Source organism: Homo sapiens, chromosome 14, assembly GCF_000001405.40.
Source record: "Homo sapiens chromosome 14, GRCh38.p14 Primary Assembly".
Classification (NCBI taxonomy): Eukaryota; Metazoa; Chordata; class Mammalia; order Primates; family Hominidae; genus Homo; species Homo sapiens.
Genome location: NC_000014.9, coordinates 97,365,634 through 97,380,923, shown reverse-complemented (window position 1 = coordinate 97,380,923; position 15,290 = coordinate 97,365,634). Strand labels below are relative to the sequence as shown.

At 43.9% G+C, this 15,290-nt stretch overlaps 5 annotated features.

Annotated features, from left to right (window-relative positions):
* Positions 1,457 to 1,506: an enhancer, noted in NCBI's record as "active region_8998". NCBI's record gives its function as "activates an Ori minimal core promoter by ATAC-STARR-seq in GM12878 lymphoblastoid cells {active_cell/tissue: GM12878}" and the evidence as "EXISTENCE:reporter gene assay evidence [ECO:0000049][PMID:35858748]".
* Positions 1,489 to 2,118: an enhancer, noted in NCBI's record as "NANOG-H3K4me1 hESC enhancer chr14:97845143-97845772 (GRCh37/hg19 assembly coordinates)". NCBI's record gives its function as "activates a minimal SCP1, AML or CMV promoter by ChIP-STARR-seq in naive H9 embryonic stem cells {active_cell/tissue: H9 hESC(naive)}" and the evidence as "EXISTENCE:reporter gene assay evidence [ECO:0000049][PMID:30033119]".
* Positions 1,597 to 1,656: an enhancer, noted in NCBI's record as "active region_8997". NCBI's record gives its function as "activates an Ori minimal core promoter by ATAC-STARR-seq in GM12878 lymphoblastoid cells {active_cell/tissue: GM12878}" and the evidence as "EXISTENCE:reporter gene assay evidence [ECO:0000049][PMID:35858748]".
* Positions 13,781 to 14,315: an enhancer, noted in NCBI's record as "H3K4me1 hESC enhancer chr14:97832946-97833480 (GRCh37/hg19 assembly coordinates)". NCBI's record gives its function as "activates a minimal SCP1, AML or CMV promoter by ChIP-STARR-seq in primed H9 embryonic stem cells {active_cell/tissue: H9 hESC(primed)}" and the evidence as "EXISTENCE:reporter gene assay evidence [ECO:0000049][PMID:30033119]".
* Positions 14,316 to 14,851: an enhancer, noted in NCBI's record as "H3K4me1 hESC enhancer chr14:97832410-97832945 (GRCh37/hg19 assembly coordinates)". NCBI's record gives its function as "activates a minimal SCP1, AML or CMV promoter by ChIP-STARR-seq in primed H9 embryonic stem cells {active_cell/tissue: H9 hESC(primed)}" and the evidence as "EXISTENCE:reporter gene assay evidence [ECO:0000049][PMID:30033119]".

Here is a 15,290-nt window from a genome sequence, read left to right as displayed (position 1 = left end):
GCCACCAGTCCATAGTGTTTTGTCATAGCAGTGCAATCTGACTAATGTGAGGGATGACTTGTACACACCGATAGTAACTGGAACATCGGCAGCAGAGGTTGGGCAGAGGTGTGTCTCTGGCTCTCCTGGGTGAGTCAGCACAGAGTTGCTCACTGCCGCCTCTTGAAAAGGTCACCTCCTCCTACTCTATTCAGCTGAATCTCAAGGCCAAGGTGAGAGAAACACAGTCACATTCCACGAGTGCAAAATAAAGGGCATTGACTCAAAGCAAGCAGTGCCCTGGAGGGCAGCTAAGTATGGTGCAGAGTGGTGATTTCGGTCTCAGAGAGACCTACAGATCTGTATCCAAGTCGCGCCTACATGTGTCTAGTTTCCCTGGCTGTGTGACCTTGGGTATGCAACTCAACTTCTCTGAACTGCAGTTTCCTCATCTGTACAGTGAGGGGGTAATTACTGTCATGACACAATCTAATGCAGGTCTGGGGTCTGGTCTTGTATGTAATTGTCTCTCAATAAATGGTGGCTATTCCCATTCTCAATATTTTTCAGCGTGGCCCATTATACATACACCCTAAACATCTGATGTTGAACATTGCACAGTGGATGTGAGATTCTGTTTCATCCTCACCTGGATGGGAGAAAACCACATTTGAGCCAGGAAGAGGAGAGACCTGCAAGCTCATGTATCAATTTAGTATCTCCCCTGGGGGGACCAAGAGGCTTAATGTTTGTAAAGTACTTTGAGATCCTGAAAGCAAAGACTTTATACAAATGTGAGATAATCATGATAATTAAACCACTGTTATTGAATACAGCGAGGCCTTATTGTTCCCTCATCCTGCAGTGAGCAAACTCCTGGCGGACTCTGTAGCACACTGAAGAGATAATTTGCTAAATCATATACCACTGCCCTGAAAGCCTCACCCACCTACAGCCAGGGACAGGCTCATACCCAACAATACCACTAATAGCAGACCCCTCTTGGTACAGGACTTTATAGTTTACAAAGCAGCTTCAGATAGCTTCTCCCACTCAGTGTCTGCAGGACAAGGAAGGATGGAAATAGGGAAAATTATACCCGCTTGATAGATGGGGAACTTGGAGAACAGATTTGTCTAAGGTCCCACAGCAAGGAAGGTTAGAGAATCTAAAATCTGGAAAACACGTTCCACATTTAGACCAATGCTCCATTTTGCAAATGAGAACACCGAGATTCAAAGAGGTGAAACAACTTGCCCCGGGGCCACGCGAGCCTGCAGGGCACCTTTGTGCAAACTGAAAAAACACACACTCCTGGGCTGACACACACAGTCCAGGTTTTGGCCAAAGGGTGTATTTCAGCCCCACTTGCCTAGCCTGGGGCCCCGTTTGTGATTCAGGAATACTGCTGTGTTTGAACATACAGGTTTTATTCTTATTTATATACGCGGTCAGCAGATCAGGAGATGATTGTTGTTGAAAGGTAGCTTGCTATACTCACAGACCGCAAGAGGAAGGGAGGTACCACACCATGGTTGGGGGGCCCAAGAGGAAGCCAGGGGCTGGTCAGGAGGCGGAAGGAGGGGTGGGAGAGAACACAGGCAAGAATCTTTACTGTGGTGTTCTCTGGAAGAATGGCAGGGTAGGCTAGACAGGTTTAGAAGTGGCTTGTTTGAATAAAGTGGGCTGTGGGGCATGGAGGCTACCCTTAGTTATTTAGTACCCACCCAGATGATTAGGGCAGGAGAACAGTGACCAGGAGTGTAAGCGCTGAATAAAGGAGGTGGTTGGGAGTGTGAGCTCCGATTGGTTGGTTTGCACATGAAAAGCCTGCTCCACGGGTAACTTACTTGCTATCTCTAGGACTTAACTAACCCTAGGAGGGGCAGTCTCTCCAGAGTCAGTAAGTATCCGAGATAGCAAAATATGAAAAACACAGAATAAAAAAACATTATTAGTATAGGCTGAAAAGGACTTTCACAGACCCGGGTAACCAACGCAACCATTTCAGATGAGAAATCTGAAGTTTGATAAGTGAAGTAACCAGGCCTTCACTGTCAATTGGTGGTAACCACAGTGATTTCAGAAAGAATGCTGACCATGCCCTGTGCTTACAGTCCTTCCTATTTTCATGGTTTGAACAACAGTCTCCAAGCACCTTAATTTAGGGACCATGGTCCTCAACCATTCCTAATCTCAAAGTTTATGCTCTGGGAGTTCAGAGGAGTGGCTAAGACATTTCTCTCACAGCTTGCTGTTTCATACCTTTGCTCACTCTCTTTCTGCCTAAAATTCCTTTCTACACCTTCCTGCCACAAGACCTTCTCTGTATCTTTTAAGACTCAGCTCAGAGCTGACTCGTTCTCAGAAGCTTTGGCTGAAGTCCCCCGGGGTGGACTTAGTGTCTTGACCTTCAGCTCCCAGGCACCTGTGCTCAGCTTGCCCATAGCCTCACTAAGGCAGTGACATTTTTTTGATGAGTTCCTGTCCTCCAGGAGACAGCCAGCTGCTTGAAAGCAGGGACCACAATCCACTCATCAGTCCATCCTCAGCACCCAGCATAATGGGTAGCCCATAGGAGCACTCAAGCATTAAACAAAAACACCACCTAGCAGAAAGTACTCCTATCCAGTGCTCCTTGCATTACACCACACTGCCGTGGCTTCTCTCTTCCTAGATATCCTCCATGAAGTCACTCCTCGATTCCCCTAAGAGCAGAAAGGATTATACCTTGAGCAACACTTTTCATAAAACATCTAGTTTAGACTTGTGCGATAGCTGTAATTGCCTTTGCTTGATTTTATTTTGTATTTTGTTCCTTTGTCAGAGTCAGCTGGATTTTCCAAGGGAGAAAAGATCTGCATTTCCAAACCATCAGCTCTAAATCGCACTCCCTTAACCTCCTTTATACCTGCATATGTACAACTAGGACTTGTTTGTCTGGGTGCATTTCTTTTCCTGCTGATTTAGAATCTACAAATAGATATCTTCTTCTAAAATATACCTTTCCCCAAAGCCAACTTACTGAATCAAACTCATTATCTTAAGACACCTCTATGGCCAAAGGTTATGCTTTTTGGAGCTATATTAATCTCTTTGTCTAAACAACACAGGCTTAATTGGTTTAGATCAGAGTTGTACTGTTTTGAGTAAAAGGGTGTGATTAATGTGCGCTAAAGGTGGTTGGACAGGCACAGACTAATTCAGTAGCACGCACAAGCCTCTTATCATCAGAGCTGACAGGGCTTGGGGAAACCTGCCCCCGGGAACAAGTTTCCTCTCAAGAAAAACAAGACCTGATTGGTCCCCCCAGACCAATCAGGGCACCACAGACATTTTCCCCAGCCTCTCTGCCCAGTGGAGAGGCCCAGCGAGTGCTTGGCGGGATGGAAAGAAGTTTCTACTCCACAGGAAGTCGGGTTCTTTTGGGATCGCCATACAGGAGACGAAGTCATTGCCCCTTACTTACTTTGTCTCATTTATTAATACTTTTAATGGCAAAACTCGCAATTACTTTTGCATCAACCTAATGGAACAATGTTTGATGACTCCCTGGCAAGGCGACTGGACTGCCTCTCTTCCTCTTGCCCTCCTCCACCCCAAATCCACGGGCCAGCCCTTTTTACCCAGCACTGAGCCCCTTAGTCTAACCTCTGCGGATTGCCTGTGTGAGGACCCTTGCCCCTGGTCCCAGATCTAGTTAAGGGGGCACAGCAAGAGACGTGAGAGCAAAAGCAGGGCAAGGACGGGAACGAACTTCTTCCGTAGAACGCCGTGGGTTGGATATGCGGCTACAGTCTTCCCCACACAGCACTCTGTCTGGGTCTGGGAAAGTGCTCCCTTCTCTTGCCCTTCAGACCAAGGTGTGGAAACAGCCTCTAGTTCTAGTCCCAGCTACTGCATCATACCTGGTTAGTTCCTATAACTTATCGCCCATCAGCTTTGTGCTAAAGGTTTTACATACATTCATTTATTTAACTCTCAGAAGTCCTACCACATAGATAGACACTGTTCTTGCTCCGTTTTACAGGTGAGGGAACTGAGGCACACAGAAGCTGAGTGAATCGGGGAGCTCCCCCAGGCCACCTGTCACCAGCCCTCAGGCTTTCACCCACATACATGGCAAGAGAGAAAGGGGAAGGAATTCCAAAGTGAGAAAACAGAAGAAAGAGAACATAAGAGTCTGCCACTAGGAAAAATCAAGAAACACTGAAAAGTCCAGTGAGGCTGGGAACGAGAGTGGGAAGTAGGTCAGAAGAAGAAGTGGCTGGGATGAGGCTGGGATAAAACTTTGAATCCCTCCTCTGCACTCTACATGTTTGAATCAACATGATTCATACTTGTTGAGGATGTCTTGTGGGAAGATGCAAGCAAATGAGATAATAGTCCTGTCCTCCCAGGGTAAGGGTGGAGACATGCACCTGCAATCCAATTCGGCTGGTGCCATAGGACAAAACGAACAAAGGACTATATGACTGCAGAGGCAGAAGGTTCTAATTCCATTTGGCAGGTCTAGAACTATGATGAGGCGGATGAGACATTTGCCTTGGGTGCAGAATTTGAGGGGGCATCAAAACACTGTAACCAAGATTAATGTTTGAATGCACTAAAAAAAATCAAAGTTAATGCAAAAAATCCACAGTGAACAAAAGATCAAAATTTTAAACAAAGACAGGCTCAGTCTCACTTGTTTTTCCCTTTGCCTTGGGCTCCAATATAGCTGAGCTTTTCTGATCCCATATTTATTTAAAATTTTGATCTTTTGTGCACGATGGATTTTTGTGCATGACAGATTTTTTTGCATTAACTTTGAATTTTTTAAAGAGCATTCAAATATTATTTACCTTGATGACCGAGTTGTTCAGTATTGTCTTCAATTTTGCACCCAGGATGAGTGGCTTGCTTTCCTCACGCTAGTCCCAGCCTGCTATCTGGGGCACTTAACCTTGGACTTACTGCTGTGGACCTCAGATGGTCACAGGTATAAAGTAGATTTGGTTTGCAGCATGGAACAATCACTCAGCAGAGTGGAGAATTGACCAGGGAAGGTCAGTAGGAAGAGGCAAAAGACAAGATGTTCCTGCAATATTCCTGCAGGTTCAGAGTTCTAAGAGAGTCAAGCAATTGCCCAGGTCCCTGGACATGGACGAAAAGCTTTTTTTGTGTGCATGATCACGGGCTGTTTCTTCACTTCTTGGCCTATTTCCTCTACCAAATTGTGAGCAGATGCGTGTTAAATTAGGATTAATGGAGCTCCTTTGTGATGCATTGAATTTGAACTGTGCACAGTAATAGTTTCATAACACATCATTCAACCTTTCTAAGAGGTTAAAAATTATATACTTAAAGCTTTAGCATATTTGTCTACAGTCTGAATGATTCCAAATGGGAATGATCAGTCCACTTCATTAAGGGAAGACTGGTTAAAAAAACACAACACACAAAACAAAACAGCAATGAGTGTCTCATGCCAGTTTAGAGCCCAGTGGCATTTTTAGTATAAACATCCAGGGTTTTCTTTAAAAAATATAGAATTAGCATGGGCTTCCCTCACTTATTGTAGCCACATTTTTTGTACTATATATTCGGGTTGGATTCTTTGCACATTGCTTAGTTCCTGGAAAATCTTTAGAGAGGTCTGGACTGCATAGTTATAAAAATTATTATAATGCATTTTCTGTGCATATTAAATTATCTCCCCGGACTGATAAAAGGTTGAAAAGCTATTATTCTTTATTCTTCAGTTTACTACAACCCTAAAGTAATAGCATTCTATTAAAGTTTATTGATTGCTCCCACTGTTAACTAGCAAGTTGGTATATAAAAATAAAACAGAGAAATCTGCCGTTTCTTCCTTGTTGCTTTTTGCAGCACGTGTGTCTTGAGTAAGATTTCAAAGGATGCATGTTGACTGTAGTCTGATGAATCACTGCAGGTTGGGGAGGTTTTGGTTTAATTGTTTATTTTTAACTGTTTCTTGTTTTTCTATTTCTAAGACTTTTGTGTTTTTGAGAAAGATTTTAGTCTAGTTTCTCTCTCTCTCTCTCTCTCTCTCTCTCTCTCTCTCTTTTAAAGAAAAACCATGAGGTCTGTCTGGGAAAGGGGAAAGGGTAATGGAATAAAACACCTATTGGTTGTATGATTCATCCAAAAACACTTGACCCACTTACTATGTGCCAGGCACTGTTCTAGGCATAAAAGATTTAACAGTGAAGAAAACAAACAGGGGCCACTCCTGTGACACTTATGTCCAATGATGGCAAGATAGGTGATAAGTAAACAAGGAAATGCAATAATCAGATGGCAATAATAATAATAATAATAATAATAATAATAATAATAATGCTATAAGGAAAGCAAAACGGGATAAGGGAATAGAGAGTGATGGATGTTATCTTGGATTATGAGGTCAAGAAAGCCCATTCTGGTGGGTAGCATTTCAAACCCCAAAGTGGTAAGGGAGCCAGCCATGCAGATATCCATGCAAAGGAAATTCAAGGGGCTTAGCAAGAATGTCACCTTAGCCTGACCATAGTCAACAGGTGCACAAGTGGTTTTTGCACCGCCTACTACAGAGCATCCATTACATCAGACCCTGGGAATAGATTGACAATAAACCAATGAAACACAGCCTTTGCCTTCCAGATCCCACAGTCTAGTGAGGGGATCATCATGTGAAGAGAGTATCAGGCAGCCTGAAAGCCTTAGAGGGGTAAACCATCTCACACACACTCATCACAGCTATTTTCTGGTACCCTATGGTAAGCACTGGGCTAGGGTTAGACAAGAGGCATTGCAGGAATCCAGAGAAGAGAATGTCTTCTGTTTGCTGGAGCAGGCAAAGGAAAAGTAGAAATAAGGAAAGTACCAAGCAAAGAGACCTTCCTGTGGGTGTGAGCCACTGTGGTGGGTGGATGAGGACAGCCAGAGGCAGTTCAGCAGGGCGGCATGAGGAAAAGCCAGCGGGGGACAGGAACAGGGTTGAGTTGGTGGACAATCATCAGCTTTTTTTTCTGGTGGGTGATGGCAGTTGGAAAGATTTCAGATGGGGAAGCAACTTTGTCAGATATTAATATTTACTAATTTAGAAAGACAGATCTGGCAGCCTAGTGGGAAAGGCTAGAAGAGAGAGTTTTAGAAGCAGAGATGGCAAAGTTCTGACTCAGTATCCTCACTGTAACATGAGACCAATGGTTGAGAGAATCTCTGAGTTTCCAACCAGCTCTAAAATTTAGGAACTCTAAGATATTAGTAGGTAACTTAAAAGTACTCTTTCTCTCTCTTTCTCTCTCTCTCTTTGGCACAGATTTTAGAATTTTCCCAAACTAGTCTGTGCTTTGATCCAATGAGTGGCTATAAGTCCTGCATATTGACTGTGGAATACAAAATGCCTCTATTTTTTTTTAACACAATGATGCTTTCCCCTCAGCTTGCTTCAGCTGGACATGCATGTGTGTCTGTCTTTGTTCCCAAGGTTTTGTTGTTGTTGTTGTTGTTTGAGATGGAGTCTCACTCTTTCACTCAGGCTGGAGTGCAGTGGTGTGATCTCAGCTCACTACAACCTCCACCTCCTGGGTTTAAGCAATTCTTCTGCCTCAGACTCCTGAGTAGCTGGGACTACAGGCACGCACCAGGGCACCCAGCTAATTTTTGTATTTTTAGTAGAGATCGGGTTTCACCATGTTGGCCAGGCTTGTCTCGAACTCCTGACCTCAGGTGATCTGCCCGCCTCAGCCTCCCAAAGTGCTGGGATTACAGGTGTGAGCCACCGCATCTGGCCTGTTCCCAAAGTTAATGCTTATTTTTTTCCCTCCCCTTTCCCTCTCTCTGCAAATTATAGTGAGTTTTGTATTTGTCGTATTCATCCAAGTTACACTTCTCCTATCCAAAGTAATGATCCCAGCCTTGAAATATTTGGGCCCAAGGCGCGCAGAGGTGAAGCAGATGTGGGAAGCATGCACTTCATTATTATCCTCATGTAAAATTCTAAAAAGCGAAAACCGGGTAACATAAAATGTGACACAAAGGAGAGACACAGGTCGGGGCTTCCAGGACACAGGCTAAAGATCATTTGTGGAGAGCAGGAGTGAATCTTGCTTGTCAGAGAGTGCCCTGAAACCTTCCATGGTGCCTGCAGTGAAGTCTGTACAGAGTTTGTTCCAAATCTCCAAGTCAATTAATGTGCAACCTGTGGCGCTTTAACTTTACTAGGAAGAAGGACCAGATGCTGAATCTTCCTGCCTCAACTGTCTGTGATACAGCAGAATAGAATTGGATGAGGTGTCGTGGCAGAGGCATGTTTTCCAAAATGTGAGCTCTTTTTTCCAATGTGGAGAGCTGTCATCGAGAAGCCACTGCCCAGACAGGGACTCTGTTGCCCAGGCTCCTTCCCATCTAGGTGTGTCCATGTGACCAGTTGCTTCCAGTGACATGTAAGTAGTGGTTAAGAAGCTGGTGCACCTTCTCCAGGGTCTCCTCCTACCCACCAACTGGGCAGAGGAGAGCAGGGTCACCAGGTGGAAGGAGCCTGAATCCCTGAATCACCAAGTGGAGGCAGGCCAGACACAAACACCCACACCAATCTCATGTGTGAGCACAAAATAAACTTCTATTGTGCTGGCCACTAAAAGGTTGTGGTTTGTTAGGGCGATTAGCATCATCCCAAATGATAGAGAAGTCAACTCAAGACACTTGCAAGTGGGTATTGATGTTGGTGCCTGAGGGACATCGCTTGACCTTCTGGGACTCAATTGACTTGTCATATGTGAGTATTCTTGATGGGTCACGAAGTCTCCATATTATAACTCTGTGAATGTCAAGGTGTCATGGAGACCTGGAAGACAGAGCCAAGTTGAGCAGCTTGACCTTTAATTTATAAACTTGGGATAATAATAATACTCTCTCTCCAGTTGTAATGAAGATTAAATTAGATAATACATAGAGATCACTTAGCACAGTGCCCGGCAGATTATTGTTGTTGTTATTGTTATTACTATTTTAATATAATTCTGCAGTACTGAGTAGTGGCTATTATGACTGCTATGATTTCTACAAATCAGAGGAGAAAGCAGAGACAGGCAAATTAACTAAGTTTGCAGGGTTGGTAAGAGAAAGGACCTCAATTCCAGATCCACCTCTAAGCTTTTCCCCTCCATGCAGTCCTGCTGGGCTCTGCCCTGCACCTGCCCAGGCCCTATAGCTCTGAGCTGATTAGACTCAAGGCAAGAGTGAAACACATCCAAATGAAAGATGTTTGAGTTAATTGGCTTTTCCTCCAAGACAGATTTCTTTTTGACAGGCAGCAGGACATGAGGCAAGAACAACTTGTTCCGCATCCTGTTGTATAAATAGGGATGGGACAAATGGTTTGGCTAAAATAAGCACAGGCCTGAAACTTTACCAAAGCTGGAACCAAATCCAGAAGGATTTTTTTTTCATTTCTTTATCTTGCTCTCTCTTAATTATTATTTTTGAAGAAAAAAATAGTCCATTCCAATTTTGTTCTCTGCGGTCACTTGTTTTGTCCAAAATAAAAGGTCAAAACATATAGCAAACTTGAATAAAAAGGGGAAATAAAAACACCCACCAGGATTTTTAAAACAAAGAAAGAAAAATCAAGAAACAAGATGCGTTTTGGTTCTGGTTTGCAGGAAGTCTCTTGGAATGGCGATTCTTAGCTCCCCAGTATGGAGCTTACATCTCATGACTAAGTCAAGGAAACTCAGCCAGATGGATGGAGGGTCAAACATCTCTGATAAATATTGCTTCTTGGCGGTTTAATGATAGCTCTTCCTTTCTCAGGGGAAAAAGGGGTCTTTAATGACTCAAATGGACATTTTTATTTGCTTGACAGCCCTTGGATGCCCAAGGGCTCAGAGTTCAAAGCTATAGAGCCAAGTTCATTCTCCCACTCTGAACCTTCTTCTTTTTCAGAGACACAAAGCAAGCTTTCCATCTTCTCAGAGCTTTAACTGGGAAGGCAACAAAAACAAGAAATGGGTACCTCATTCTTAAGTGTCCAAGCACAGAATGGGCAGCTGCTTGGCAAGGTCATTGGAAAAAGGAAACAAAACTGGCTGAAGCATTAGACTAGATTGGTCATTCCCAGCCACAAGTTTTTGCACCAGTGGTAGATCCTTTTTGATCTGGGGAAGCACGTGCAGAAAAGGTGCACATGAAAGCCCCATGGCAGGTGTTCCTTGAGGTCTCTTAACTCCAAGAATCTGTGATTCTCATACCTGGTAATAGCATCATGCTCCAGAGAAATAGTGCTTATTGAAATGATAATGACTGGGGAACCCCATGGAAAATGGTCACACAGCAGTGTTACTAGAAGTCAGATGCAAAGATGATGAGATTTATCCATAAAAAGACAGTTATACTTTTCCTAAGTAGTATTTGAAACCACATCTTGCCTTGCCACATGTTAAAACATATTCTAAAATGACACTTACTGAAATGGTGTGGTAAGAACAGAAAGACTTGACATCCCAGTCACTGGGACAATGTGAAAAGCCCAGATAACTGGTGAAGGTGCAAAGATTCTGTCTTGTCTCAGTATATTGCTAGGAACAAGCAGGTGTCTGGCATATATTAACAACTGACAAATATTTATTGAGTGAATCAGAAGTGAGAAAGTAAAAATGGAGTGCTTATTTAGTAAAATCATTTTAAATAATTGCTTAGTGATTTCAGAGAAACATCTATTTAGATTCAAATTGTATTCTATAATACAGAATAGATTCTGATAGATAGATTTAAATATACAAAAAATTTAGACCAGGCACAGTGACTCACACTTGTAATCCCAGTGGTTTGGGAGGTCAAAGTGGGAGGATCACTTGAGCCCAGGAGTTTCAGGTTGCAGTGAGCTATGATCGTGTCACTGCACTCCAGCCTGGATGACAGAGCAAAGTCCCATCTCTTAAAAAAATTATTTTAAACTAAATATTGGCTAAAGATTAAACTTTCAGAATTCTGGAGGATTGCAAACATTCTGAGCTTTGACGTGCCAGAAGAAATCACAACAGAAAAGACTATTATTTCCCTGTATATAATAAATAAACTGTATAAATAAATAACTGGGTATAACTGGTTATAAATAAATGATTCCAATAAATGACTGGGTAAGAGTGAAGGACAGACTTCCAAAAAAAAGAAAATACAAATACAAATAATAAATAAGCAGGAAAAAATACCTTTTCATTGTAATAATGAAAGAAATGCAAGTTAAAGTAAGCTTAAACTCCAACACTGAGGAAACTGATTAATAATGCATAATTATCTCCAAATGAAGTATTACCCAGCTCCTAAAAATAAATCAAGAGCATGCAAAAACATAAGGAAAAGTTAATGATAAAAATTTAAGTAATAGAAAGTCAAATTCAAAAGAAACAGTGTGATACAATCACAATTAAGTGAAATATTAGAAAAACGATGTGAAAGTGAAAATAATTGTGTTGAAGGGGCTGGCTTGGATGTTAAGAATGGAGTTTCTTGTTGCTATATTTTTCAGAGTTGTCATTAGTACTGTTGCGGTCCACACACACACACACACAAACACACACACACACACACACACACACACAATACAAAAGCAAGGAAAAAAAAGAGGAAATTGTCATTTATCAATGTGGATCTCTGGAAAGTAGAAAACAAAATAGGTCATTCTTGTTGCCAAGGAGCACTGTGTATAGACAGCGCCTATCAGCCCAACCCCATGAAATTTAGATATAAAGGGCTCAATTGATAAAGACCATCATGGCGGAGGATAATTTAATTTTGATAACCAGCACCCCTTCTTATAGAAGGCAAACATTCTAGACCTTCCTGGGTTTGAAGTTAAGCTCAGCCATTTCAGGGCTGTGTGACCATGGGTGAGTCACTTAACCTCTCTGTTTCCATTTCTTTTTCTCTAAAATAAGGATCATAATGTCCACCTAACCCAGAAAATGGCTAGGAGGATCTGAGATAATGTTCAATTAACATCATTTGCCTTCCACTCATCATCGATTTTTATCTCTTTGCCTGCTGGATAAAGATGGGTCATTAATCAGACCTCATTGGAAAGCAAGAAAAACGGGTGGAAACTGGAGATAAATCATGATTTTTCTTTTCTTTTCTTTTCTTTTCTCTCTTTCTTTCTTTTTTTTTTTTTTTTTTTTTTGATACGGAGTTTCATTCTTGTTGCCCAGGCTGGAGTGCAATGGCAAGATCTTGGCTCACCGCAACCTCCGCCTCCTAGGTCCAAGCGATTCTCCTGCCTCAGCCTCCCAAGTAGCTGGGATTACAGGCATGCACCACCATGCCCGGGTAATTTTGTATTTTTAGTAGAGATAGTGTTTCTCCATGTTGGTCAGGCTGGCCTCGAACTCCCGACCTCAGGTGATCCGCCCACCTCGGCCTCCCAAAGTGCTGGGATTACAAGCATGAGCCACCACGCCCTGCCCAAATCATGATTTTTCAAATTTTGTTCTCCAGACCCCTGAGAAGGTTTTCATCAAGTAATTGCTGTTGGGTGAGGCTGCCTTAACCTCCTGAGACGTCCGGGCCATTCCACCTGGTCCTGCTCAGAAGAAGAGAGGCTCTTTGGCTCTCTCTCATCCGAGTGCCCTTCACCAGCCTGGAGCTGCCAACAATCAGCAAATCAGCCTCCCTTCTCCCAGCTAAACACCACTGTGTTAATTGGGCTCATTTTCTAACCCAAATGCAAGTGGTGTACATAATGCAACTTCAGGAGCTTGACATTTGAAATTCATGCTGAGAAAGCAGAGAGAGCGCTCCAGGCAATGAGAGGAGAGGAAAACCAACCTTGGCCGGTCTGGAGAAAATCAGAGCTTCCTGGGGTTAGAGGCACGCACTGAACCGTGGAGTTCAGAGCTGAATATGACCCCAGCCACCCACCGAGCTCTGCTTGCTGGAGAACTGACTTAGTGCCACCTCCCTGGAGGCCCAGTCCAGTGCTCAGTATTCATCTGTTGAACAAGTCAGTGAATAAAGAGGCTGAGAATCAGAGAAGACAAGCAACTTCTCCACGGCCGCACAGCCAGTCAGAGGCCCACAAGGAGGATAGCGCAGCTGGTGTTCCCGTGTGCTATGATCATCTTTCTCTTCGTCATGTGGAATCCTGGCCTGCACCCTGTAAATAGGGAGGCTAGTGTTCACCAAGCCAGCTTTCTTGGGAGTCAGGGGCCACCGGGCTGTCTGGTCCTCCTTGGTCCAGCCAAGGAGGCCAGTGGTACGTCAGCCAGGAGAGGCAGGAACCAAGACGGGGTGGTCACATTTCTCTCAGGTTCTGTTCGCTGAACTTTTCTCCTGATTCCACTGTGAGTTGTCCCCACAGCTTGCATTTTGACAAATCATGAAGAAGCCATTGCTGGTGCTAAGTGAGGGCCTCTTATGCTCCTCTAGCCCAACCCACAGAGTAACATGGAGTGAAACATGAGGCAATGGTGCCCATTCCACAGATGAGGAAACTGACGCCCAGAGAGACAAAGTGCCGCCCCCAGGCTCACAGGCAGGCCAGCCGCAGCCCCAGGCCTGGGACACACATTTCCTGACCCCAGACCCGGAATTGTCCCAGCTTCTTCTTGTCTTTCAAATGCAACATCAAACCAAAGCTGATCAGCTGAGTCTGAAATAATGAAAGAAATGAATCTTCACAGACCAAAAGATGTGAACTAGGTCTAATCTGCTGTCAGTTCTGGTGGGTTGGTCCTGTGTGGAGAAAGCGTCTGAAGCCTGTGTGGAGGGTTCTGATTGGGTGCGGAGAAACCTTCTGCAGCCTGTGTGGAGGGTCCTGATTAGGCAGCAAAGCCTGCTCTGGAAGACCAATTCTGAGAGACGGTGTGCGCACAGCTGGTCCGCAAACGCTGACGGGATATTTCTGGGCCTTAGACACTTTTGCTTCCCTGAGCCCCTTCCTCCATCAGAAAAAAATACTGAAAAATATATGTTAGGACAGTATTTGTATTATATTACTAGTTTTTATATTATTCATTAGTATTATAATATGATTTTTCCTTTTTATTTTTAAAAAACTGAAACATGTTTGTGGTTCCCAAAAAATACTGTAGGCCCTGGACACTGTGCTTCCTGAACCTAAGTGTAGAATTTGGCCCCACTGTGTGCAGACAACAGGGGGATTCGGAAATGAACGGTAGGAATGTCTGCCCTGGGAGAGCTATCAGGCCAGAGAGAAGACATGCTCAGAAATAACTGAATAACAGCCCGGAGTGCTATCCCACAGGCACACAGGGATCCTGAAAGCTCCGAGGGAGTTCCGGGAGTGAGGGGCCTGCACGAAGACTTCCTGGAGGAGGAGGGCACTGTAGCCCTGAGGCTGGGGGAGGGGACATTTCAGCCCCAGGCTGGCCTGCACCCCGCTTCAGGGAGCAGCCTCAGAGGCACAAGAAAGCGACGGCAAGGCAGGAGAGCTTCCTCCACAGGCACACGAAGACTCCAATCACCATGGGGACGGAGAATGCACCTGCTTTTCTTTCCAACTCTCCTTTCCTTTTGGAAGACTTAGAAAAAATGAACCTATGAAAGAAGAAAGAAAGAAAGAAAAAGGAAAGAAAAGAAGGCAAAAAAGAGAGAAGGAGAAAGAGAGAAAGAGAAAGGAAAAAAGAGGGAGAGGAAGAGAGAAAGGAAGGGAGAGGAGCACCTCGTGCTGGCACCGTTATCATTCATGTTGATGTCAACATCTCTACAAAGACAGGTAGCAGGAAAATATCGCCAGGGAGCCATTGAGGGCACGCAGCGGGGCCCTGAGTAATTACCGTGGCCTAGTTATTTCTCTGGGAAGGGGAAAAAAAGTCCAGCACCCGATCTGATTTTTTTTTTCTTAATAGGTGAAGTTGAACCTAAAGCACTGTAATTTTAATCAAGTCTTTCCCATCTGCGTGTAGTGTCTCTGAGAAGTTGAAGATTTAAGTGTATGTTGTAGGGTTGGTGGAATTGTCCCAGCGGGGGAGGGAAGGGGGCAGAGTGGTGGTAATTACGCTACACTTAAAGGTATTTCGGTTGCCAGGGAAGGCATTTTTTAAAATTTCCTCTTTTTTTCATTGAGGGTTTGGATGATGTCATGGACAGGAGAGGGGAAAAGGGAATGCAGAAGCCAAAAGGGTGAGCAAGAGGGGAAAGATGAAATTGTAATTTTCAGTTTAGAAGAAGCTTGGAACCATTTGGAAAATGGGAGTGTGATGCTCTGAAGGACATAAGCTAAGCCTAGGAATGGACTAACATCTTTCTAACACAAACACACACACACACCAAGCCCACAGAGCCCACAGACACATCCAAACATGCAC